Source organism: Homo sapiens, chromosome 1 (genome assembly GCF_000001405.40).
Source record: "Homo sapiens chromosome 1, GRCh38.p14 Primary Assembly".
NCBI lineage: Eukaryota > Metazoa > Chordata > Mammalia > Primates > Hominidae > Homo > Homo sapiens.
In genome coordinates this window covers 52,636,008-52,662,789 of record NC_000001.11, presented here as the reverse complement: position 1 = coordinate 52,662,789, position 26,782 = coordinate 52,636,008, and the positions used below count along the sequence as shown (strand labels likewise).

At 44.9% G+C, this 26,782-nt stretch overlaps 1 protein-coding gene across 11 annotated transcripts in view, besides 4 other annotated features; it reads right to left on the bottom strand.

Moving 5' to 3' along the window:
• SHISAL2A (shisa like 2A) overlaps positions 1 to 26,782 on the bottom strand; it is a 36,896-nt gene that overhangs the window by 6,894 nt on the left and 3,220 nt on the right. For 3 of the 11 annotated variants that reach the window (XR_007059587.1, XR_946639.3, XR_007059593.1), the window contains exon 2: positions 19,788 to 19,927. Coding sequence is in view for 3 of the 11 variants with exons in the window: in XM_011541377.3 (XP_011539679.1) it covers positions 5,750 to 6,000; positions 19,788 to 19,927 (391 nt within the window). In the remaining 8 variants the exon portion in view is untranslated. Of the gene's footprint in view, positions 1 to 3,209; positions 3,390 to 5,724; positions 6,001 to 14,164; positions 14,340 to 19,787; positions 19,928 to 22,722; positions 22,816 to 26,782 lie in introns of those variants that run through there. The other 8 variants (XR_946635.3, XR_946636.3, XR_946637.2 and 5 more) reach the window with 5 other exon arrangements.
• Positions 10,499 to 10,793: a silencer, noted in NCBI's record as "tiled region #2435; K562 Repressive non-DNase unmatched - State 23:Low". NCBI's record gives its function as "weakly represses a minimal TATA promoter and a strong SV40 promoter by Sharpr-MPRA in K562 cells {active_cell/tissue: K562}" and the evidence as "EXISTENCE:reporter gene assay evidence [ECO:0000049][PMID:27701403]".
• Positions 10,499 to 10,793: an enhancer, noted in NCBI's record as "tiled region #2435; HepG2 Activating DNase matched - State 5:Enh". NCBI's record gives its function as "activates a minimal TATA promoter and a strong SV40 promoter by Sharpr-MPRA in HepG2 cells {active_cell/tissue: HepG2}" and the evidence as "EXISTENCE:reporter gene assay evidence [ECO:0000049][PMID:27701403]".
• Positions 21,251 to 21,300: an enhancer, noted in NCBI's record as "active region_1035". NCBI's record gives its function as "activates an Ori minimal core promoter by ATAC-STARR-seq in GM12878 lymphoblastoid cells {active_cell/tissue: GM12878}" and the evidence as "EXISTENCE:reporter gene assay evidence [ECO:0000049][PMID:35858748]".
• Positions 25,264 to 25,423: an enhancer, noted in NCBI's record as "active region_1034". NCBI's record gives its function as "activates an Ori minimal core promoter by ATAC-STARR-seq in GM12878 lymphoblastoid cells {active_cell/tissue: GM12878}" and the evidence as "EXISTENCE:reporter gene assay evidence [ECO:0000049][PMID:35858748]".

Below are 26,782 nucleotides of genomic sequence, written 5' to 3'. Positions count from 1 at the left end.
TTCCTAGAGCCCAGGACAAGACCTGGCACACAAAAGATAGTCTGTTGGTTAGCGGACTATGGCTGAAGGTGGGGCTAGAGAGATCTACTTGTCCAGAGCCCTTGGAGCCCTAAGGGGTACTCTCTTTAAAACAGAAAGGGTGGGGGGGCGGTACCTCACGCCTGTAATCCCAGCACTTTGGGAGGCCTAAGTGGGCAGATCACTTGAGGTCTGGAGTTCAAGACCAGCCTGGCCAACACGGTAAAACCCCATCTTTATTTAAAAAAAAAAAAAAAAAATTAGCCGGGCATATTGGCAGGGGCCTGTAATCCCAGCTACTCACAAGGCTGAGGCAGGAGAATCACTTGAACCCGGGAGGTGGAGGTTGCAGTGAGCTGAGATTGAGACATCGCACTCCAGCCTGGGTGACAGAGCAAGACTCTGTCTCAATAAATAAATAAATAAATAAAATAAAATAAAATAGAAAGTTGACAGGATAGAATGCTTCCTCTACCTGGATGAGACCCTTCAAGTATTGCCATGGTCCATCAAGATTAAGTTCAACCCCTGCTTCCTCCATGAAGGCTTCCAGACTGTTTCTTTTCTCCTGCCTTAGAATCTTTGCAACTCTAATGGTCCTTACCCCACATCTTGGCATTTGTTTGGGATCTCTCTCTGACTGTTCTCTAGGGGTTTCACGGGTCAAACCTACTCTTCATCTCTAGTAAGTAAGGCCTGAAGGGCGGGGTTGCAGGATTATTATTATTTTTTTTTTTTTGAGACGGAGTCTTGCTCTGTCACCCAGGCTGGAGTGCAGTGGCGCAATCTCAGATCACCGCAACCTCCTCCTCCTGGGTTCAAGCGATTCTCCTGCCTCAGCCTCCCGAGTAGCTGGGATTACAGGCACCTGCCACCATGCCTGGCTAATTTTTTGTATTTTTAGTAGAGACGGGGTTTCACCATGTTGACCAGGCTGGTCTGGAACTCCTGACCTCAGGTTATCCGCCCTCCTTGGCCTCCCAAAGTGCTGGGATTATAGCTGTGAGCCACCATGCCCGGCCGTATTCTATTCTAAGGGCTTGTCACAGTGGTGGGCCCACAGTGTGTCTTCAGTCAACTCTCTCAGAGTGGGTCATCTGCTCTGGGTGGCCTTGATCCTGTGAGGGATGGAGAAGGTATGCAAGGAGCCCTTCACACCCCTGTGAGTGTTCCACACACGAGACTTCCCAGGTGGGACCCAGGGTTCTGGGACCGAGCAAGGCATGGAGCTCTCCTGGGCTGTGGCCTGCAGCCTGGCTTTGGCTGTCTTGTGCCCTGGCCCCTGAGCCAACAGGCACAGATCAGGAGGAGCAGTGTCATGAGTCAGTCAGGCAGTAGAATGGCCTCCCCCTGACCGGAGGACAGATGTCTAGGGCCCAAGTCATTTCTTGTGGATACATGAGACATCACTGTCCTTTAGACTTCTGAAGGATCTGCAACCAAAGGGCCCCAAAGGCAGAGATCCTGAATGGCAAATTTCACTTCAATGTTACAGAGAACAGGAAGCAAGTGCTCACAAAAGGTGTTGTCGAGTTCCTTTCCATGCTTGAAACCCTTTCCTGTGGCTCCCTTTTGCCCTCGGGATAAAGACCAAGCCCCTTAATATGGCAAAGGCTTCAGGACTTGGCTCGTCTACCCTTCCAGCTTCATCTTTCACCATTCCCACCTTGTGTCTACCCAAACTGAACTACTTATTGTTACCTGAAAGAACCATATGGTCTCTCTTAGCCATAGGTCTTCATGTATGCTGTTCCTTCTGCCTTAAATGCTGTTCCTCATCTTGTACCAGAAACCTCCTTTCACCTGTCAGTGGGTCCTTTAAACTTAATCCAGTTATTGCTTACTCCAGGAGGCCTTCCCAAAGTCTTTGGCTAGATTAGGGATCTTTTGTAAATGCCTGTAGCAATGAGCTTCTTGAAGATAGGGATCGGGACCTCATTTAGCCAAGATTCTGGCAGAAAATCATTGTCAATCAATGTTGAATGGACAAACAAATGTGAACGTCTGAGAAAAAAACACCTAGCAGGATAGCTGTAAAGGGGAGTGGAATGTTCTAACGTTTCCAAGTTCCAAGATTCAACATTCTCTAATTCTGGGCTGAAGATTCACTCCCCTCCATCCGAAGCCCACTCTCCAGCTAGCTCCTCCGCCCTGTGCCCTCTGAGTGTTTGTTCTCAGGCAGGCACACACACATGTTCTGAACATAACCGGGAAAGCAATTTACAAGAAATAATTGCCGGTCGATGTGTGCTTGGGAACAGCGGTGAGCTCAGACTATTTCTGTCTGCGTATCAGCCCACCCAGCATCCTCCCACTGCGGCTGCCCTGGGGGAGGGGCTCCTATCACACAGGGTGGGCAGTTTGTTTCTAATGCAGGACCCAGACTAGCCAACCCCAGTGACAGCCGGCTCTGAGCCTTGATTGAATTCAAAGGAGAGGAGCTGTTGGGGGGCAGGGAGGGGCTTTATGAGGCCTAGGATGTGTAGGTCAGCAAAAGCAGCATGTACATTCCCTTTCTCCAACTGTTGGGGAAATTCTACCAGGTCTTCAGGGCCTTGCTCAGTGTGCGGTCTCCCCCACATCTCTCTGGCTCGGAGTCCTCAAAGCTTGTTTTTGTTCTTGCAGAGGCTGTTGTGCTCAAAGGGTGGTCTCAGACCAGCATCATCAGCATCACCTGGAATTTGTTAGAAATGCAAATTCTGGGGACTTACTCCTGACCTACTGAGTCAGACACTGGGGTAGGAGGCCAGCATTCTGTGTTTTAACAAGCCCTCCACACAGCTGATTCTGATGCAGCCTCGAGTTTGAGAACCACTGCCTTAGGCCGCGGATGACCACTTTAGCGTTTGGAATGCACACAGCATCTCCCCCTTCTGACTGCTAGCAGCCTAAAGGCAAGGGCATTATCAGATTCTTTCCTGAAACCTCCCAGTCTCCCTTGAAAGTGTTCAGAGAAAAGTTGGATTTTTCTGATGAGGATACCAAGGACAGAGAAGGAATTCGTCCTGTGAAGGGTCGCACAGAGCGTCAGGGACTAAACATCCCAATATCACCCAGCCCCACCACATATATACAAGTACCCTAAGCTCTTTCTATAACAAATAACTTGCAGGTCCTGGGCCACACTGGCTCGCTCTCACTATTGTGAACAAGCTGTATTCTGACCATAATGTTTTCTGTTCCTGTCTCACCTGGAAACTTTGAGTCATCTTTGATGATTCAGCTCAGACATCATTTCTTCCTCCCTAAAGCCCCATGAAGGGCCACCACTGGGCCTCCTGGCCATTTGTGTGCCTGCCTTGTCCTCCATGTGAGCCCCTTGAGGGTGAGAACTGTCTGATTCCTCTTGTTTGTGGCAACCTGCACAGGTCCTAGAATAGAATGGATACCACTAAGTGTGCAGTAAATGGACAAGGGTGCTGGGTTTTAAGTGCTGAAAATAGGCTGGGTGCAGTGGCTCACACCTGTAATCCCAACACGTTCAAGGCTAGCCTAGGCAACATAGCAACCACCCGTCTCGATAAAAAAAAAATTTAAAAATTAGCTGGACACAGTGGCACGCACCTGTAGTCACAGTTGCTTGGGAGGCTGAGGCAGAAGGATTGCTTGTGTCAGGAGTTTGAGGTTGCAGTGAGCTATGATCTCCACTGCACTCCAGCCTGGTGACAGAATGAGACTGTCTCAAAAAAAAAATGCTGAAATAAAAGAGCACACACACACACACACACACCACCACCACCACCACCACCAACAACAACAAATGAAGCAAGACCAGAACCAAAATCTCTTGACTTCCAGCCTAGAACACTTCTGTGGGTGACTCACCCTGTCTTGCCACCCCATCATGTACCCTTTGGCTGGCCTCAGGCACAGGTATCTAAGAGTGACTCTTTCACTGTTGCCAAATCCAGCAGCAGGTCATGTCACTGTCTGAAATGTCAAGAGCTGCTTTTGGTGGCTGCTGAGCTGCGTCTCCACAGTCCTTGTCTTGCATTCCGAAGGCGAAGCCTAAAAGCCATCGCCAAAGTTAGGAGAGCAGCCAGGAGGGAGGGCTGACAGTCAGCATCTTGCCCTAAGATTCCTTTGCGATCAGATTAATAATAAGACATGTTAAAAATAATAATAATAGCTAACACATAGTGCTTTCCATTTGCCAACACTTTTCTATGTACTTGCATGGACTTAGTAATTTAGTCCTTCCCCAAGCCCTATTAGAAGATACTACTAAGATTCCAGCTTATATAGATGAGAGGACTGAGGCACAGAGGTTACCTAGCAAGTAAGTGACAGGGGCAGGATTTTAACCAGGCATTTGGCTCCAGAGTTGTTCAGTATTACATAGTTTACTGTTATTGTCCATTTGTAATTTAAAAAGTCTTTTAGCAGGAATACTATGTTATCATCCATTGGTCATTTAAAAAGTCTTTTAACAGGCCAGGTGTGGTGGCTCACATCTGTAATCCCAGCACTTTGGGAGGCCAAGGCAGGCGGATCACTTGAGGTCAGGAGTTCAAGACCAGCCTGGCCAACATGGTGAAACCCCGTCTCCACTAAAAATACAAAAATTAGCCAGGCATGGTGGCACACACCTGTAGTCCCAATTACTTGGGAGGCTGAGGTGGGAGGATCACTTGAACCCGGAAGGCGGAGGTTGCACTGAGCTGAGATCATGCCATTGCACTCTAGCCTAAGTGACAGAGCAAAACTCCGTCTCAAAAAAAAAAAAAGTCTTCTAGTAATTTAATGTTTACGAAGTGAGTTCAAATCCATCACCTCATTGAACACTTGCAATAACCCAGCAAGGGGACTGAGGCTCAGGAAGACAAGGGACTTTATCAAGGCCACACAGTGGCAGAGTCCACCCTCTGGAGCCTGTATTCAGTCTGATAACCATTCATTCATTCATTCATTCTTCTTCTTTTTTTGTGATGAGGTCTTGCCCAGGCTGGAGTGCAGTGGTGTGATCATAGCTCACTGCAGCCTCGACCTCCAGGGCTCAACTGATTCTCCTGCTTCAGCCTCCCAAGTAGCTGCAACTACAGGTATAAGCCACCACATGTGGCTAATTTTTAAATTTTTTGTAGAGTCTGGGTCTCACTGTGTTGCCCAAGCTGGTCTTGAATAAGTGGGCTCAAGTGATCCATCCACCTTGTCCTCCCAAAGCTCTAGGACTACAGGCGTGAACTGCCGCGCCCTGCCCCTATTCATTCTCTCACTTAGCACTCACTCCTTCATCTACCTAAGAAATAGAATGACGCCTGAGCCCTGTGCACAACATACTCCCTCTCTATCCGTCCCTCTGCAAGGGGCTTACTCCAGGATGGCGCACTCCAGGGTGAGGCAGAGCTGCTGAAGAGGCAGAGATCATCCCCCTCTGAGGGCTAATCATCTTCTCAGGGGCTCCTAAATACACCTACTGTGGGGCAGGAAAACCATGTCAGAGTTCTCTGACTTCCCAGTTGGGTGAGGGGCTCCTCTGTGCCTTCACAGGCCCCAGGCTTCCACCCGATTGCATGGAGTTGTTACTGACCATTTTTCCTAGGAGTCATGTCAAAGTTCTTTGGCCCACAATAGGCCAAGCAGAACAGTATGGCAGGGTCCACAGCAGGGCTGGGTATCTTTGCTGGGAGAAGCCCTCATTTATCATGCTAGGCTCTAAAGTCCTTTCCCACTCCCACCTTTCACTGAAGAGACTCCAGAAGGGGATGGTATGGAGACATTTATTGAATGTTTATGGGACTGGTCCACATAGGTCAGGGTTGGGTACAGAGGCTTCCTCAGGGCTGCCTGGAATGTCACTGGTGGTCACTGTGGCCATGAAGCAATGATGGAGGAGGCGTTTGGAGTTCACAGCCTGCCCCTCATTGCTCTCCAGCTGCGGGTTCAAGCAGGAGTAACTCTGCTGGAGAGGGCTCACTTTTGGCACTTCTGCCGCCATGCCTGTGTTCACACCTTGGCAGTCAGGAGAAACCTCCTCAGGGCCTGGAAAACAGCAAACTGAGGGTGTGTGGCTCTCTTCTTCCCCAACAGGATCACACTCCCCAGCTGACTTCTCTGGTGCTTACCTTGGGCAGTGCACTGTGGTCAGAGCCTTAGAAGCATCATTTGTTTAACATGTATTTATTAACAATACACCACATTATGCACTGAGAGCTGTCAGTGTTGCTCATGAACTTGTAGTTTGGTGGAGGAAACAGATAAGAAACAATTGTTAAGAGCTATGAAGACTTGACCTTCACCATAACCCTATGAGGTAGGTACTATTAGAAATCCATTTTATAGATGAGAACACAGGATTACCATACAGCTAGTATGGAGAAGAGTGGTGGACATTTTTAAAACATAGATTGTTCTCGCTTTGAGAATAGATTCCATGCTTCTCTTTGCTGAGTGACTTATCTTCTCTCTTCCTCTTAAATCAAAGCTTGAAAGGAAGTCCACTTGGCCTTATTATTCTCTACCTTCCATTCATGACTTGTTCAGCTGCAACTTACTTTGTTCTGCCCCCACTATACCTTCAAACTATTTGTCACTAAACCCATAGTCACTTCTAAATCCTTATCTCCCTTATCAGGAACATTTAACATTATTTATTTATTTTAAATTTTACTTTACCAGTTATAGGACTCTGATTCTTTTTTCCTTTTTCTTTTTTTAATCAGGAGCATTTGACACAATTGAACATTTCTGTCTTTCTAGATAAAAAAATGTATCAAGTGTTTAAGCCAAAAATTCGAGTCATCTCTCACACCTTCTACCTCGGCCCTTTCACAAAGCCAGGTCCTGCTGGTTCCACCTAATAGTCATCTGTGGTATCCACCCATTTCTCTCCATCCTCAAGGCTACCACCTTAGATCAGGCTTTCATCTTCTTCTGCCCAGACCCCTGGAACGGCCTCCAGTGGGGGCCCCTCCATCACGTCCTCCATGCTGTAGCCAGAGAGATCTAAGATCTTTCTAAGATCAAGTGAGTCTATGTACTATTCTTTCTGAAAGCTTTCAATCTCTTTCCATTACCTGTGCTCCTTGAGATGGCATCTCATTGTGGCTTTAATCTGCATTTCCTTAATGACTAATGAAGTTGAACATATTTTCATGTGCCTATTTGCCACCTATATATCCTTTTTCAAAAACATTATTTTATTTTGAGATAGGGTCTTGCACTGTTGCCAAGACTGGAGTGCAGTGGCTTGAACATGGCGCACTACAGCCTTGACCTCCTGGGCTCAGGTGATCTTCCCACCTCAGCCTCCTGAGTAGCTAGGTCTATAGGTGTGCACCACCACATCCACCTTTTTTTTTTTTTTTTTTTTTTTTTTTGTAGATACAGGGTCTCATTATATTTCCCAGGCTATCCTGAAGTCCTGGGCTCAAGTTATCCTCCTGCCTTGGCTTCCCAAGTTGCTGGGGTTACAGGCCTGAGCCACCATGCCTGGACATTTTAAAACATAGATTGTTCTCTGTTTGTCTTTAATGAAGTGTCTGTTCAAGTCTTCTGCTCATTTTCTAATGGGATCATTTGTTTTCTTAATGTTGAGTTTAGGGTGTTCTTTATATATTTTGTTTTATTTATTTATTTATTCATTTATTGAGACATATCACTCTGTCACCCAGGCTGGAGTGCAGTGGCGTGATCTCAGCTCACCACAACCTCCATTTCCTGGGTTCAAGTGATTCTCCTGCCTCAGCCTCCTGAGTAGCTGGGATTACAGGCTTGTGCCACAAGACCTGGCTAATTCTTTTTGTATTTTTAGTAGAGACGGGGTTTCGCCATGTCAGCCAGGCTTGTCTTGAACTCCTGACCTCAAGTGATCCACCCACCTGGGCCTCCCAAAGTGCTGGGATTACAGGCATGAGCCACCACACCCGACCAATCCTTATATATTTTGTCAAATATGTGAATATATTCTCCAGTCTGAGGCTTGCCTTTTCATCCTCTTAACAGGATCTTTCACAGCATTAAAATTTTGAACTTTGATGAATACTGGCTTATCTTTTTTAAAATGTATTGTGCTTTTGATGTCTTGTTTAAGAATTCTTTGCATAACCGCATGTCATGAAGATTTTTCCCTGTTTTCTTCTAAAAGTGTTAGAGTTTTTTGGTTTACATTTAGATCTTTTTTGAGATAATTTTTGTACAAGGTGTGAGATCTAGGTAAAGGTTTATTTTTTACTTATGGAAGTTTAGTTGTTTTAACACCATTTATTGAAAAGACTATCTTCCCCAGTTGAATTGATTTTGCACCTTCATCAAAAATCTGTTGGACAACCTTATGATGTCAGTCTACTTCTGGACCATATTTTGATCTATGCATGTGTCTGTCCCTCCTCCAATACCACACTATCCTCCTTACTGTTTATTATTGTTGCTATACAATAAGTCTTAAAATTGAGTAGTGTGATTTCCTCCAACTTCATTATTCTTTTTCAGTATTACTTTAGCTATTCTAGTTCCTTTGTCTCTCTATATATAAATTTGAGAATTAGCTTATCTATCTATCTATCTATCTGTCTATCTATCTATCTATCTATCTATCTATCTATCTATAAAACTGCCATTTTGGCCAGGCACAGTGGCTCACACTTGTAATCCCCACACTTTGAGAGGCCAAGAAGGGAGAATTGCTTGAGCCCAGGAGTTCAAAACCAGCCTGGGCAACATAGCAAGAACCCATCTCTACAAAAATAAAAAATTAACAGGGTGTGGTGATCCCTCTCCAATTGTGGGGGTCTGAGCAGCTGCCAGCCAAGCCTTCCAGAAGTTACAAGACCTTGGCTCAAGTCCTCATTCTGGTATTAAACGTTGTGCTACTTTGTGCCAAACCCTTCTCTTCTCTGGATCTCGGTTACTACTTCATAAAATGGAACAGAAAATACGACTGGCCTAATTTTCTGTGAATTCTTTTCCATTGAGCTCCTTGGGAGGCTGAGGTGGGAGGGTCACTTGAGCCCAGGAAGTTGAGGCTAGATTGTGCCATTGTACTCCAGCCTGGGTAACAGAGCAAGGCCCTGTCTCAAAAAAAAAGGGCGGGTTGCAATTTTTATGTTTACTATGTTGAGTTTTGCAATTCATGAACATAGTGTATTTCTCCATTTTAGGTCTTCTTTGATTTCCTTCATCAGCATTTTGTAGTTTTTTTTTTGTTTGGTTGGTTATTTTTAGAGACAGGGGTCTCCCTCTGTTGCCAGGTTGGAGTATAGTGACATGATCATAGCTTACAAGTGAGCCTTGAACTCTTGGGCTCAAGGGATCCTCCCACCTCAGCCACATGCCATCATGCCCGGCTAAGCATTTTGTAGTTTTCTTTTTTTTGAGACAGAGTCTTGCTCTGTCACCCAGACTAGAGTGCAGTGGTGTGATCTGGGCTCATGGCAGCCTCCGCCTCCTGGGCTAAAGCAATCCTCCCATCTCAGCCTCCCAGTAGCTGGGACTACAGGCACATGCCACCATACCCTGCTTTTTTTTTTTTTTTTTTTTTTTTTTTTGTAGAGACAGGAGTCTTGTCATGTTGCCCAGAATGATCTCGAACTCCTGGGCTCAAGCGATCCTCCAGTCTTGGCCTCCCAAAGTGGAGGGATTTTGTAGTTTTTAACATACAGAACCTGTACATGTTTTGTTAAATTTTACCTAAGTATTTCATTTATTTTAGAGTAACTGTAAATGGTATTATTGTGTTTTTAGTTTGGGTTTCTAATTTTTTGTTAGTAGTATATATAAATACAATTGATGTTTGGTTTTGACTTTACTGTGACCTTGCTAAACAAACTTAGTTCTTTTTTTTTTTTTTTTTTTTTTTTTTTTTTTTTGAGACAGAGTCTCACTCTGTCACCCAGGCTGGAGTGCAGTGGCGCGATCTCTGTTCACTTCAAGCTCTCCCTCCAGGGTTCATGCCATTCTCCTGCCTCAGCCTCCCGAGTAGCTGGGATTACAGGTGCCCGCCACCAAGCCCGGCTAATTTTGTTGTATTTTTAGTAGAGATGGGGTTTCACCGTGTTAGCCAGGATGGTTTCAATCTCCTGACCTCATGATCCACCCTCCTGGGCCTCCCAAAGTGCTGGGATTACAGGTGTGAGCCACTGCGCCCGGCCCAAACACACTTTGTTCTAACAGGTTATTTTGTGCACGTTTTATAGACTCCTTGGGATTCTTTGTTATTTAAGCTTTCATTTTAAGGCATTCCAACTTGTACAGGGATTTACTTCAACCTTCTCTTCAATACAAGAATCCCCTTAGCTGAATCCCATATTTAGCCTTTTCCTGATTACCTTCCATGGATAGAGGTGCTTTTTTAAAAAACAAAACAAAACAATTTAACAAAACAAAAAAACTTGTTTGTTAAAAAACAAAACAAATTTGTAAAGGATTACGAATTTGTGAGTGAAATATGGCCCAGAGTGATGGAGTTCTTTTTGCAGTATTTCAGGTATACTCTAAATAAGTTCTACCTTTATTGACTCAACATCCATCTCCCTATGGCTTTCCCCACTGATTTCAGCTCTGTTCTCTCGATTCTCATAAAAATGTCTGATCCTCTTGTCCCAGAACAACCTTGCAGAGATCTGAGGCCCTAGGCTGTGAGCCCAGAGTCTCCTCTGTTCAAGGCCAACTATCCCCAGCTCTTTACCTAATCCTCACATGACCTGGTTCCCAGATCTGAAGTAGTCACCTGCCTCTGATCATCTGATTGGTCAAAGTCCATCTCACATTATGGGGCTCTGAGCAACTGGCCAGCCAGGGCTCTGGGGAATCCCTTGGGCTTCCAGGAGTTACAAGACCTTGGCTCAAGTCCTCATTCTGATATTAAATCATTGTGCTACTTTGTGCCAAACCCTTCACCTCTCTAGATCTGTTACTACTTCATAAAATGGTGTAGAAAATACAACTGGCCTAATTTTTCTACTTCTTTCCCTTTGAACTCCAAGTTCTGAAGGATTCTGTCTACATAATAGACTGCATTTATTAAGTACTAATTTTTTCCATTCTGTATTAATCAAAGAGCTCTGATCAGCAGGAGAGCACCTATGTTAATTACCCCCTGGAACTGATATAATTCTAGCTCAAAGAGAAGAAACTTGGTCCCTGTAAAACCTTTGCAATATTGTAGCCAGCTGAGGCAGGAGAACTGCTTGGACCTGGGAGGCAGAGGGTGCAGTGAGCCGAGATGGCAACATTGCACTCCAGCCTGGGCAAGAGGGTGAGACTCCATCTCAAAAAAAAAGAAAACAAAAATTGTTGGGCCGGGCACAGTGGCTCACACCTGCAATCCCAGCACTTTGGGAGGCTGAGGCGGGTGGATCACGAGGTCAGGAGTTCAAGACCAGCCTCTGGCCAAGATGGTGAAACCCCGTCTCTACTAAAAATACAAATATTAGCCAGGCGTGATGGCAGGGGCCTGTAATCCCAGCTACTTGGGAGGCTGAGGCAGAGAATTGCTTGAACCTGGGAGGCGCAGGTTGCAGTGAGCAGAGATCACACCACTGCACTCTAGCCTGGGCAACAGAGCGAGACTCCGTCTCAAAAAAAACAAAAAACAAAAAACCTTTGCAATATTGGAGATTGCTCAAGAATCCCCACTGCTATGTTTGGGGACCCTCAGGAAATTGGAAACCAAAGTTGGGAACCTACAGAGTAGACGATAAAAAGTTATTTCTGAGATGTGATGGCTGGTGAGTTCTATCCAACTGAAAGTTAATATAGATCATCACTCCTTTGCTTCCAGACCTTATACTCTGTTAATGTGACCTGAGGTTCCACTCACTTTTTTTTTTAGCAATTACATTACATTTTTGGCTTATGTGGGAAGCTGTTAAAAAAAAAAAAAAGGTTAGGCCAGGCGTGGTGGCTCATGCCTGTAATTCCAGCACTTTGGGAGGCTGAGACGGGTGGATCACCTGGGGTCAGGAGTTCAAGACCAGCCTGGCTAACACAGTGAAACCCCGTTTCTATTAAAAATACAAAAATTAGCCGGGTGTGGTGGCAGGTGCCTGTAGCCTCAGCTACATGAGAGGCTGAGGCAGGAGAATTGCTTGAACCCGGGAGGCGAAGGTTGCAGTGAGCCAAGATCACACCACTGCACTCCAGCCTGGGTAACAGAGGGAGATTCTGTCTCAAAAAAAAAAAAAAAAAAAGGGTTTTAAAAAAAAGAAAATGGTATGTTTGAGATTGCCAACATGTAAAAATTGAAGCGCCTAATAATAATGAAAATGACAGCCACTAATTGTTAAAAGCCTACTATGTGTTTGAGACTAATTAAATACCAGTAAGCATCATTTCTAGTTTTTGCAACAACTTTCTTAGTAGCTATGAGGGTACACATTTTAGAGTAAATTGAGGCCGAGAGAAAAATGACTTGCTTAAGGCCACACACTGACAGCAGCAAGGCCAAGATTAGAACTAGGTTTTCTGGCATCTCTGCCCAGCGCTGTGCCTTCCCTCCTTTCTCCAAGGACCTCCGTGGCCAGTCCCCCATTACCTGGGGTTCTCAACCCTGAACATGGGCCTAGCCTGTGGTGACCAGCTTGGAAAGGAGTTCTCAGGTTTTCCCCCTGCTTGGAGGAGTCAAAACAAACTCATCACTGACTGAAGCATGTTTGGTTCCTCGGCGTTACCTCTCAAGTATGGTTAATTAAAAAGCAGTGGGCTCTGGGGTGACATGACTGAGCCTTCTGTGGAAGGTGGGAGGGGCTGATGAAAGTCATTCTGCAGTATAGGGGCAGCTGCTGCAGGGAAAGGTCTCTGGCTGGGAGGCAAAGGCTTGGCCACCAATTGGCTGGGTGACCTTAGGCACATGACTGCCTCTCTCTGGGCCTCAGCTGCCCCATCTATACAGTGAGAGCATCAGACTTTATTTCTAGGAGCTTTTGAGTTCTAGTTGATGAGAATGGCTGACTAATGACCTCTTCACCAACAACTTTCAGAAAAGGATAAGAATTGGACTCCTTAATTTTCCCCCCAATGTTTTAGTATCTTATTAAATGTACCTAGATATCACCTCTACACTCACCTCACTGACCTCATCTGCAAAATGGGAGTTGATAATAATCACCAGGCAGAGTAGTTGAGCAGGTTAAAGGGGATGATGTGTTTGAAGTCCTTAGCACAGTGCCCAGCTCAACAGTAGGAACTCACTTTTCTGATCTAGCCAGTTCCTCACAAAGTACCAGAATAAGAAAGTTATGGTCTTCATTGCCATCCCAAGTTTGGGGATGGGATGGGTGTGACGGTGATGGGACAGAGTACAGAATGCCTGGGCAGGGAAAGAAGCCTATTTCAGAAACTGCTTTTCCATTTACACTCTGCTCTTGCCAAGGCACTCCCCACCCCACCCTTGCCTCCATACTCAGAGCTAAGGAACCCAAGGGACAGTGCAATCATAGGCTTTAGAGTCTGGGAGATCTGGGTTGACATCGCAGTGACACATGCTCACTGGCTATGTGGACTTAGTTCATTTCCCTTGGCTGAGCCTTGGTTTCCTCTGCTATAAAATGGGGGTAAAGACCTCTCTCCATGTCCTATTGAAGCGCAAGAGAGCAAACAGAAATGAAAGTCTATCAACAGTAAAGCTCTGATGAATGTAAGAGAGTGGGCCTGTAACCATCTCAGATGCAGAAGGAAGCTCCTGGGTTGATGCTTTGGGTGCAGAGGGAAGGAGAGGCCAACACTTAATGAAGAAGAAGGGTAGGAACTAAGAGCTGAGTTTGAGCAAAAAGCAGAGAGAGCCTAAAGCTGTTATTTAGTAAAAGGTCAGGCAATGCACTTTTCTTCTTAAAAATAAGAAACAAAAATCAAGAGGACATGCTGTCTCAAATTCTCGTGACTGAATAATTCAGCTGGTGGCTGAGCAGTGAAAAGCAGGAGGATGGTTTCCATTCACAGGGCCGAGGGATGAACTGTATTCCGCTTGAGCCAGAAAAGTAGGAATTAGGGGATGGGTAGGGTGGGGTGAGACTAGGAGCACAGAGCACAAGCCAGAACATCCCACAGTCCTGCTCTAGGAGGATGGAAAGAGCAGGACTTTGGAGGCAGAAAGACACGTGTTTGATTTCCAGCTCCACAATCACAAGCTATGTATGACCCTTGTGCAAATCATCTAAGCTCTCTGAGACCTGATTTTTGCATCTGTAAACTGGGTTATAATGAGACCTACCTCACTGGGATAGCTGGAAAGATTAGAGGAGATGGTGTGTGTGAAATTTCAAACAGTGTCTGGCACATTGTAGGGATGCCCCTTTCACAGCAACAGGGATAAGGAGAGGAAGGAGGGTGAAGGGGAGAGTTGGCTCTGTCACTCATTCGGTGACTTTGGGTCTCAGTTTCCTCATCTGTAAAATGAAAGTAATAGCATGATCTATACCCTACCCAGTTACCATAAAGAGCAAATAATATGGTACATTTAGAGCTAGTTCATTCCTTTTGCCTATATTGTATCAATATTTAATTATTCTATTATACCACAGTTTATGATCCATTCCTCTACCTATGGACATTTAGTTTCCAATATGACAGGTTCTTAAGATGTCTGTCTTTACAAAGCCTCTCCTAATGCAACTATTTAAGGCAGCTAATTAGAAGTAGAATTACTGAGTAACAGGGTATATATATAAAACTAACAATTATATAATATTGATAATTAATTATGTAATAATGAAATATATTATATATAATTATATATTAGATATGTTAATATATAATTATATGATATATTAATATATAATTATATATATTATTTAAATAGATATTGCCAAAATTCTCTGTAAAGTGGTCGTACCAATGCATACTCTTACCAGCAGTATATGAGAGTACCTGCTTCCCCCATCCCAACCTTCCAACCTTCTCACTTTTAATATGATACATTTTTGGGCTTTTGCCAATTTGCCAATGTAATTTTTTTTTTTTAATAAAGATTTTTCTTTTTTTCTTTTTTTTTTTGAGACAGGGTCTTGATCTGTCGCCCAGGCTGGAGTGCAGTGGCCGATCCTGGCTCACTGCAGTCTCCACCTCCTGGCCTCAAGCAATCCTCCCACTTTAGCTCCCCAGGTAGCTGGATCTACAGGCATGTGCCACTATGTCTGGCTAATTTTTGTATTTTTTGTAGGGATGGGTTTCACCATGTTGGCCAGGCTGGTCTCGAACTTCTGACCTCAAGTGATCTGCCCGCCTCCACCTCCCTAAGTGCTGAGATTATAGGTGTGAGCCACAGTGCCTGGCCTGGATGTATCATTTTTGAATTGCATTCCCCTGATTATTAGTAATGTTGAGCATCTTTTCCTGTGCATTGGGCATTTGCATTTCTTTTTTAACAAATTACATTTTTCTTATCTTTTAAGGTGTACTTATATCAATACTGCCTTGTTTTATATACAGTTGATTCTCATTATTCACGGTAGTTATATTCTACAAAGTCACAGCAAACACTAAATTAACAAATACTGAATTATTGCTCCTAGGGGAAATACAAGGTTATGTTCCTGTGAGCCTCTGGTCACATTTTTGTCAACTGATCAATATGTAACTTTGTTTTTCTATGTGTGTTTCTGTTTAAAGTGACCTTATTTAATATGTTATTGATTCATTAACATTGAACTCATGGCCAACAGCACTATAACCTAAAACTCATGTCTCTAAAACAAACAAAAACAGGCCAGGTACAGTGGCTCACACCTGTAATCCCAGCACTTTGGGAGGCCAAGGCAGGCATATCACCTAAGTTCAGTAATTCAAGACCAGCCTGGCCAATATAACGAAACTCTGTGTCTACTAAAAATACAAAAAAAAATTAGCTGGGCATGATGTTGGGTGCCTGTAGTCTCAGCTACTTGAGAGGCTGAGGCAGGAGAATTGCTTGAACCTGGGAGACGGAAGTGGCAGTGAGCTGAGATCGCACCACCGCACTCTAGCCTGGGCGACAGAGCAAGACTCCATCTCAAAAAATGAAAATAAAAATAAACCAAAACAAAACAGTGAAATCACCCATTAAAAATAAAAAAATACAAAAACCATGGCACTAAATAGACTGAGAAAAAGACACTTGCTTGTACCATGAGAGCTGCAAAGAGAAGGCAGAGCATACCTTATTCAATATCACCTAGGATACATGTGTAAATCAAATTTTTTGCTACTCTGTGTGTGCCCACATTTACAAATGACCTCAGAATTGCCTTGAGTATTGATGCTGACGTTACAAGTAAATTTTAGCAAGTAGGGAAATTTGCAAATACAGAATTGGAGAATATGAGGACTAATTGTGTGTGTGTGTGTGTGTGTGTGTGTGTGTGTGTGTATAGATATTTAATGTAATATAATATCTTTGCAGCCCATCATTTGTTTTTTAACTTCACATACAGTGTCATATTATTTGTACTTGATGTAGGGACATTTGCCAATCTTTTCCTTTATTTTTTAGAAAATTATACATTTTATACAAATTCCTATATTTTTATTAGTCTGTTTCTGGACTCTTTCTATTCTAGGTTTTTCAACTTTAGTACTCTATTCTCTACTCTAGGGTTTCTCAACTGGTACTATTGACATTTTGGGCCAGATAATTCTTTGTTGTGAGGTACTGTCCTCTTTATTGTAGGCTGTTAAACAGCATCCCTGGCCTCTACCAATAGTTATCAATAGTATCCCTTCCCCGAATGTGACAACCAAAAATGTTTACATACATTGCCAATTGTCCTAGGGGAACAAATTTGTACTCAGTTTAAAACCACTGCATTGCCCAATTCTATTTGTCAATTTCTGTGCCAATATCACAAAACTTATATTTTTAAACAGAAATCCTTTATTTTAAAAAATGTCCTGCTGCCTGATAGAGCAAGTCCCTCCTCTTCTTTGTTTTCCAAAATTGTGTTGTTCATTCTTGCACCTGTATGCCTCTAGATTAACTTTAGAATTAATTTGACAAATTCCATGAAACATTTTTATTTATTTTTATGTATAGGTTAATTTAGGAAGAACTGGCATTTCTATGATATTGAGCCTTTCTATCCACATATGTGCCATATCTCCCATATAGTCAGGTTCTTTTATGTCTTTCATTGACCTCTATAAAAGTTGAAACCAGCTGGGTGTGGTGGCTCACACCTGTAATCCCAGCACTTTGGGAGGCCAAGGCAGGTGGATTGCTTGAGGCCAGGAGTTTGAGACTAGCCTGAGCAGGACGGTGAAACTCCATCTCTACTAAAAATACAAAAAATTAGCCAGGTGTGGTGCTACGCACCTGTAGTCCTGCTATTCAGGAGAATGAGGTGGGAGAATCACCTGAGCCCCGGAGTGCAAGGCTGCAGTGAGCCATGATTACGCCACTGCATTCCAGCCTGGGCAACTGGAGTGAGACCTTGTCTCAAACAAAACAAAACAAAACAAAACAAAACGTTGAAGCCTCAGTTGTCTCTGGTCTCCACCAGGCTGGTTCTATGTGCAGACGTTTTTCTTTTCCCCTGCCACTGCCTCTCAGGTCTTTCTCACTCCAAGAGGAGCCAGCTGAATCCTTCCACCCTCAAAAGTGACCCCTCCTGCTTTTTGCTGCTCAGTCACAGCTGGATTATTCACAGTCATCAGGATCTGAGAAGGGTTCTTGTGCTGTTGCTTGTTGTATTTTTATTGTTAACTTGGAAAATTCGTGTTTACAAATGATGGCATTCAGCCCTCTCTTTCTCTGAGACTTAGCTACTACCCACCTTGCCCCTTCTACCTCCCCGATGCCTCCTGTCACCCTTACTTCTTCTTCTTCTTCTTTTTTTTTTTTTTTTTGGAGACAGAGTCTTGCTCTGTTGCCCAGGCTGGAGTGCAGTGGCGCAATTTCTGCTCACTGCAAGCTCCGCCTCCCGGGTTCACGCCATTCTCCTGCCTCAGCCTCCTGAGTAGCTGGGACTACAGGCGCCCACCACCAAGCCCAGCTAATTTTTTGTATTTTTAGTAGAGACATGTTTTCACCGCATTAGCCAGGATGGTCTCGATCTCCTGATCTTGTGATCCGCCCGCCCTGGCCTCCCAAAGTGCTGGGATTACAGGCATGAGCCACTGCACCCGGCCCCACTTTTTTCTGAGACACGGTCTTGCTCTGTCTCCCAGGCTGGAGTGCAATGGCACAATCTTGGCTTGCTGCAACCTCCGCCTCCCGGGTTCAAGCGATTCTCCTGCCTCAGCCTCCCGAGTAGCTGGGATTACAGGTGCCTGCCACCACACCCAGCTAATTTTGTATTTTTAGTAGAGACAGGGTTTTGCCATGTTGGCCAGGCTGGTCTTGAACTCCTGACCTCAGGTGATCCACCTCCCTTGGCCTCCCAAAGTGCTGGGATTACAGGCATGAGCCACTACAACCGGCTGTCACCCTTACTTCTTTTGCTTAGCTTAAATTTCTCCCCCAGGCTGCCTGGCCTTATTCCCTGTGGTGCCCAGTGTGAATGACCCTGTCACTGCAGAGGGCTCACTCAGTCCGGTCCACACACATGTACCCACTACTTACCCTATGCTGGGACAGCCTTTCTCCTTTTTTTTTGCCTTAGCAACTTCTTCACTAAACTCAACACTAACTCAAGTATCCTTCCCTGTTTGAAATCTTCCCTACACTTTGTATCAAACAATTTTGTGCTTAGTTATATACTTGCACATACCCAGTATGGTGACTCGAGGCAGACAGATGTGAGCTGTATTTCAGCCCACCACTTATTAGCTATGACACCTTAAGCAAGTCATCAAAACTCTTTCAGTCTTGCTTTTCTCATCTGTAAAATGGATTTAATAATACCTATTTTGAGCATTGGCTACCAAACTATACTGAAAGATCTTTTGCCAATAGAGACTTCCTTCCTCCCTTCCTTCCTTCCTTTCTCTTTCTCTCCCTTCCTTACTCCCTCCTTCCCTCCCTCCCTCCCTCTCTCTCTCTCTCTTTCTCTCTTTCTTTCTTTCTTTCTTTCTGAGACAGTCTCACTCTGTCGCCCAGGCTGGAGTGCAATGGCGCCATCTCGGCTCACTGCAACCTCCATCTCCCAGGTTCAAGCGATTCTCCTGCCTCAGCCTCCTGAGTAGCTGGGATTATAGGCGCCTGCCACCATGCCTGGCTAATTTTTGTATTTTTAGTAGAGACAGGGTTTCACCATGTTGGTCATGCTGGTCTTGAACTCCTGACCTCATGATCCGCCTGCCTCGGCCTCCCAAAGTGCTGGGATTACAGGCGTGAGCCACCGCGCCTAGCCCAGAGACTTGTATCTTTCATAATATCTTTCAGGATGTTGTCAAAATGTGTGCAAAAAAGGCTTGTGAAAAAGCAACACTTTATTTTTGGCCCCTTAGAGGCACTTGATAACCTATACTAATGAAGAAATGGGTAGTCTGGAACATCAGATTATTTAAAAAAACGCATACACACAATAAAAGCGCTTGTATTTCGTTTCTGATAAATTATGAGTTTGGAAGCAGCAGATTTTAAAAATTAATTCTATTTTGTTTGGGTTAATATTAAAATCAGTTTGCATTCCCCAAGGCTAAAATTAAAACATCATCTTAAACAATCCACAACATGGATTAATCTTTGTGTGACAAATGGAGTGTTGTCTACATTAAATTATTTTGACAAACAATGTAAACATGAAGAGTTTAGGATGGAAATGTTTAGATCACGAATCTCCAGAAAAATGTGCCGCTGCTTCTGCATATTCCAGGAATAGTCATGAGGCAAATGTTCCAAACATCATTTCTACATTTCTCCCCCCTTGAAAAGGTGCTAGTCTACCGAATACAAGGACATCACCTGGCAACTTCCTTACCTGCTGTCTGTAAGCTCAAGCCCAGGTCCAACTTTGTGTGGGGCTTAGAGCTGATGAACAGGTAGCAGAGCACACAGGCGGTAACAATGAAGGCGAGAAGAACCACTGCTGCTACGGACAGGCCTATGAGAGCGCCAATGCTGGGAAGAGAAGACCACATGGGAGCTGAGAGTCAGGAAGGGACTTGGGAGACAGATGTTATAAAAGTGTTGTAGCTAGGCTAGAATGAGCCTGCTGGGAAGAAAATGTACAGAATAAAAATATTTAAAAAAAATTTTAGGCCAGGCATAGTGGCCCATGCCTGTAATCCCAGCAATTTGGGAGGCCGAGGCGGGCAGATCACTTAGGGTCAGGATTCAAGACCGGCCTGGTCAACATGGTCTAAACACTAAAAATACAAAACTTAGCTGGATGTGGTAGTGGGCTCCTGTAATCTGTAATCTCACCTACTCGGGAGGCTGAGGCACGAGAATCACTTGAACTCGGGAGGCGGAGGTTGCAGTGAGCCGAGATCGTGCCACTGCACTCCAGCTTGGGTGACAGAGCAAGACTCCATCTCAAAAAAAAAAAAAAATTAGTGTTGTGTTGTAGGAATCAGCTTTGACTTTTGTTTTGTCCCTACTTGTCTTAAACAAGCTTTCTATGCTTCAGCATGGGAAAGAAAGTGCACCAACTATATGCCAAGGACTCACCACCAAGGACTCATACCTGACCCCGCTCAGCAGCACCATCTCCTTCCCTCCCTACTTTCCTCACCTGCTCCCACCCCAGGGACCTGGAGATGGTCTTAGGGGACCCCCCCATACTGCTGTTTCTTAAGAATCAAGACACATATAGTAGGCCTTAGTTAAAAGCCAGCTCTCCTTCCAGCCTTAGGTAATTTCTTTTCTTTTTGTTTTAAGACAAGTTCTTGCTCTGTCACCCAGATTGAACTGCAGTGTTGCCATCTAGGCTCACTGCATCCTCAACCTCCTGGGCTCAAGCAATCCTCCCACCTCAGCCTCCCAAATGGCTGGGACCACAGGCATGTGCCACCACGCCCAGCTATGTTTTTGTATTTTTTGAAGAGATGGGGTTTTGCCATGTTGCCCAGGCTGGTCTTAAATTCTTGAGCTCAAGCAATCTACTCATTTTGGCCTCCCAAAGTGCTGAGATTACAGGCATGAGCCACCATGCTGGCACCCCCTCCCACTCACCCCCGCCTCTTTTTTTAAAAAAAAGAAAATAGAGACCAGGTTTTGCTATGTTGTCCAGGCTGGTCTCAAACTTCTGGCCTCAAGCAATCCTCTCACCTCAACCTCCCAAAATGTTGGGATTACAAGCATGAGCCAACCGTGCCCAGGCAAGCCTCAGGTAACTTCTGACCCAACCTCCATGGTTCTGCTGACAACGTCAGTGTCAACTCCATGTCTCAAATACCTCCACTGCTGGTCCCTCACCCTCCAACCTCACTGCCTCTGGCCCCAAGTCAGGCCTTGGTCACCTGGTCTGAAGGAAGAAACAGCTTCCTTTTTTCCTCCCACAACACTCAACACAACACTTCTGACACCAGATGTATGGGGGGGTTTTCCCCACACGTCAAGCAATTCTCCAGCAGACACCATCAATTCTGGAACCATCTCTAGGCAAATAGTGTCAGCTCCCACAGGTTACGGGCTCAGTCCCACAAGACTCCCTCCTGCCCTCCCATACCAATTGCAAGTAGTAGGTTGTCACCTATACTTCTGACCCACCAGCTATAAATCAGTGTGCCCATTGCCCCTTCCTTGGGGTTGATTAATTTGCTAGGACAGCTCACTGAACTCAAAAAAACACTTATGTTTACCAGTTGATTAGGAAGGATATTACAAAGGATACAGTTGAATGGCCAGATGGAAGAGATACATAAGGCAAGGTATAAGGGAGGGGCGTGGAGCTTCCATCTGGTCTCCAATCACACAACCCTCCAGGGACCTCCACGTGTTCAGCAATCCAGAAGTTCTCTAAACCCTGTCTTCGGGATTTTATGGAGGCTTCATTACATAGGCATGATTGATTACCATTGGTGATCAACTCAACCTCTGGGCCCTCTCCCCTCCCTGGAGGTTGGAGTGAGGTGGGGCTGTAAGTTCCAGTGCTCTAATCACATGGTTGGTTTCCCCGGCAACCAGCCCCCATCCTAAGGCTCTCCAGGAGCCCACCATGAGTCATCTCATTAGAACAAAAGATGCTCCTATCACCCAGGAAATTATAAGGAATTTAGGAGCTCTGCGTCAGGAACTCGGGGTTCAGAGACCAAATTTTAGAACAAATGATGCTCCTAGCATCTCTATCTACAAGGGCTTTAGGAGCTTCAACTCAGGAACCAGGGGCAGAGACCAAATATGTTTTTTTTTGTTTGTTTTTTTTTTTGTTTTGAGACAGAGTCTTGATTCTCCTGCCTCAGCCTCCCTGGTAGGCGGGATTTCAGACCTCAAGTGATTCCCCCGCCCTTGACCTCCCAAAGTGCTGGGATTACAGGCGTGAGCTACCGTGTCCGGCCAAGACCATGTTTAATCAGCCTTATCCTCCCATTGTCTAGGCCCTGGCATGTGGTAGGCAGTTGGTAAATATCCTTTGGTACCTACTATGTGTCAGGTGTTATGGAACACTCTCCCAATGAGAAGGTATAGGTGGCATCAGGCTTTGTCCTTGCCTACCCTTTCTTCTCTAGCTCTCCTGCCCATTTTCTTCCCTGACTCTGGCCCCAGACACCTGCCCTTGCCACTTCTGCAGGATTTCGCTCCCTGTTAGTTAATGGCTAATTTCACTCAACCAAAACACCTGAGAGCTTTGAAGAGTCTGCCTTCCCATGGCTAAATAAATTATTGGACATCTCTGCAATGGAACAGTATAGCATATATAGAGACCTTATTAATGATATAGATGTTTTCAGGCAGGGCGATGTGGCTCATACCTGTAATCTCAGCACTTTGGGATGACAAGGTGGGCCGATCACTTGAGTCCAGGAATTCAAGACCAGCCTGGGCAACATGGTGAAACCCCATTTCTACAAAAAATACAAAAATTAGCCTGTCATGGTGACCACATGCCTGTAGTCTCAGCTACTCAGGAGGCTGAGGCGAGAGGGTTGCTGGAGCCCGGGAGGTGGAGGCTGCAGTGAGACATGATGGTGCCACTGCACTCCAGCCTAGGTGACAGAGCAAGACCCTGTCTCAAAAAAAAATGTTTTCAGATCTTTTAGATTTTAATATGTTTTGTTTTGTTTTTTGAGATGGAGTCTCACTCTGTCGCCCCGGCTGGAGTGCAGTGGTGCAATCTTGGCTCACTGCAAGCTCCGCCTCCCAGGTTCATGCCATTCTCCTGCCTCAGCCTCCCGAGTAGCTGGGACTACAAGCACCCGCCACCACGCCCGGCTAATTTTTTGTAATTTTAATAGAGACAGGGTTTCACCGTGTTAGCCAGGATGGTCTCGATCTCCTGACCTCGTGATCCGCCCGCCTCGGCCTCCTAAAGTGCTGGGATTACAGGCGTAAGCTACCACGCCCAGCCTAGATTTTAATATCTAAGATAATGGATAAATCTTTATGAACTTATTGATAATATTAATTGAAAAGAGCAGGACACACTACTAATTACATGGCATAACCCCAATTTAACTAAATAAGTATACATATATGCATAACTATACACATGTACACATGCAAGGTTGATGGAGATACACCAACTAACAGGCTGTCTCTGGGTATAGTTCAGGATGTGGATGTCCTGTCTGGGGCCCCTTGGATCTTATCATTGTGGAATATTCTGATACTCTAGCCAAAGTTTCCTTCTTTTTTTTTTTCTTTTCTGAGACAGGATCTCACTCTACCACCCAGGCTGGAGTACAGTGGCACCATCATGGCTCACTGCAACCTCAACCTTCCGGGCTCAAGTGATCCTCCTGCCTCAGCCTGTTGAGTAGCTGGGACTACAGGCATGTGCCACCACACCGAGCTAATTTTAATATTTCTTTTTACAGACTGGGTTTCACCATGTTGCCCAAGGTTGTCTCCAACTCTTAGGCTCAAGCAATCTGCCCGCCTTGGCTATCCTGGCCAAAGTTTCTATTGCAAACAGCTGTTACCTCTTTGTCTGAGGGGTTTCTTGGGCCCAGAACAGGCTCTGTGGACACACTGGCAAGTCAATAGTGCAGGATAATCAATACCTTCCTTACCCCACCAGCCCATGACCGATGACTGACAGAAATTGTTAGCTAAATATCCAGCTTCCTGGCCGTCAGGTGGGATAACCCTGAGGAGTACATTCTACACTGGCTGGCAGAGTTTAAGCTCCAGTTACCTCTGGTGTAATTTGCTTGGTAATACACCCATTGTTGGCTTCTTTCTCTCCCTGTCTCACTTTCTTATCCTCTACCAGTGATTTTTGGGATCACTTTCCACATAAACTACTTGCCATCAAATCCTCATCTCAGAGTCTCCTGGTGAATCCAAGCTTAGACACTGGATTACTCATGACTTCTTTCTCTTTTCATTTCTCTTGTCCTTTTCACATTTTTTACATTGAGTATGTAGGGCTTTTTAGTTCTTTAGTTACTTTAATTAAACATTATTTTCTCATTTGAGATATGCTTACTGTTCGTAGGGCTGTTATCTAGGAGAATTGTGCTTTGCTTGGGACCCGTGTGTGGGACAACTCTGGGTTCCTGGATAGAAAGGGGCCTCTAAGAGAGGCCCTTTGAGGAGTGAGGGGGAGAGTTTTGTTTGTCCCTGTCTACCATTCTTTCTCCAGCTTTCTTGCCCATCCTCTTCCCTGACTCTGGGGTGATACATTCCAGATCGGAGGTCAGTCAGGGGGCAGGCACTGTCTCTGCTGGTCTGTCCTGGTGACAGAGGAACTAAACTCCAAGGACAGAGTTGGGAACAACAGGGCAGGCTCCAAAGAAGGAAAATCTGTGCTTGGCATGAGATGAACTTCAAATGATCCGAGTTGTTCCATGGTGAATGTACTGCCTCAAGCAGGGATGAGTCCCTGTCATGGGAGAAGCTTGTGCAGGACACACGAATGAGTTATATCTTTCAGTGAAGTTAGAGATTCCTACCCTGGGTAGGAAATTGAATTAGAGAGCCTCGAGTCTTCGAGGATTTTACTGTTCTGACTCTGAAAGATAAAAACCCACTGTGACTCCTAAGAAAGAATTGGAGGGACAATCTAACAACCAAGGGCTTTGGAGTCAGGTAGTTCTAAGTTCAAATCCTGGTTCTGCCACATTTAAGCTGAAAAATCACTTTACCACTCTGACCTTCATTTTCTTCCTTTATAAAGGTTTCTATCTCACCAGGTGGTGGGAAGGATGAAATGAGGTGCTGTAGACACGGTCTGACCACAAACTCTGCCTTCCGGCAAGGCTGCTGTCTTCTGGCTCACACCCTCGTAAAAAAACAGAACTAGTGATGGAGGAGGGTGTTTGGCAAGTGGACCAGACGGTGTGACAGCACCAACTGCTTCTCCACAGGGTGTCTTCACTTCCTGAGGCACAATTTTAAAGATAGCAATTCTCCTTGAGCACTGTCTCTCCCAGGAAACAGTGCTTACCTGGAGATTTTGAAGTTTTTAAGGACTGACTTTCATGAAAAGGGCCAAACGGAATTTACAGCAAAACAAGGTCTCCACCCTGCAATATCCGGGCTCTGTTAGGAGCATGCCGGAAGAGTTATTTCAAGGTTCAGAGCACGTTGATGCCCTAGACATCCTGAGGACTTTCAGTTCCTCTCCTGCACTTTGCAATTGTCTGTGGTATTTATGAATCACATTATGTCTGAGTCCAGGAAGAGTCACCCTAGAGCCTTTAGCCACCTTGGGGTCACAGAATGGGAACACACTGACATGGGATGTTACCCCAGAGATCAGCCCATCCAACCCCCGAAGAAAGCATTGTCTGAGCCACTAAAGCATGCCACGTCAGAGTTTCCAGGGCAACGGAAGGGACCACAAGACACAAGAGCTGTGTAGGGAAGGGGTTAGTGGAAGAGGGAAAGGGTCCTGGCTGGGTGCTGAGAGAATTACTCACCTCTGTGTCCCCAGGGGCCAGCACAGTGCCCAGAAGACACTAGAGGGTCAGTGAGTATTTTTCAGATGATCTGAGTGGATCAGGTTGTTAAGAGAGATCCAGACAGTAGTAGACAGGACAAGCCAGGGCTTGAGATGAGACAGGCCTGAGTTTTCAACCCAGCTCTGCCACTGCCTCTCACTGGGACACTCCCAGATAGTAACTTAACCTTTCTCAAGTTTTCTCATGTGTAAAATGAGAAGTGCCAGGGTTGTGAATGTGTGAGAGCATCTAACCCTTGGATAGTCTTAGGTAATGTTCTTTAAGTCTCAGTCTGCTATGATATTGCTAGGAGATCTCGGACAATTCACTTCCACACTGAATTTCACTTCCCACACCTATGAACCAAGGAAAGGGAACTCTCTTATTGAGCACCTAACATATGCACTGGTCACTTTCATGTGCATTATTTCTCTTAGTTCTTACAATTCCATCACACAAATATCTCTATCACCATTTTAAAGTTGAGAGAAAATACTAGGAAGTTAAATAACTTTTCCAATCCACATAGATAATAAGTGACAGATTCTGACCAGCCCCAAAGCTCCACACTGTCTCTGTACTATCACACAAATATCTCTATCACCATTTTAAAGTTGAGAGAAAATACTAGGAAGTTAAATAACTTTTCCAATCCACATAGATAATAAGTGACAGATTCTGACCAGCCCCAAAGCTCCACACTGTCTCTGTACTATCACACAAATATCTCTATCACCATTTTAAAGTTGAGAGAAAATACTAGGAAGTTAAATAACTTTTCCAATCCACATAGATAATAAGTGACAGATTCTGACCAGCCCCAAAGCTCCACATTGTCTCTGTACTTACAAGGGAGGTCAGTGCCATCTTATTTCAGAGCCTAGCTCAATGCCAACTACACAGTGGGCCTTCAACAAAACTTCAT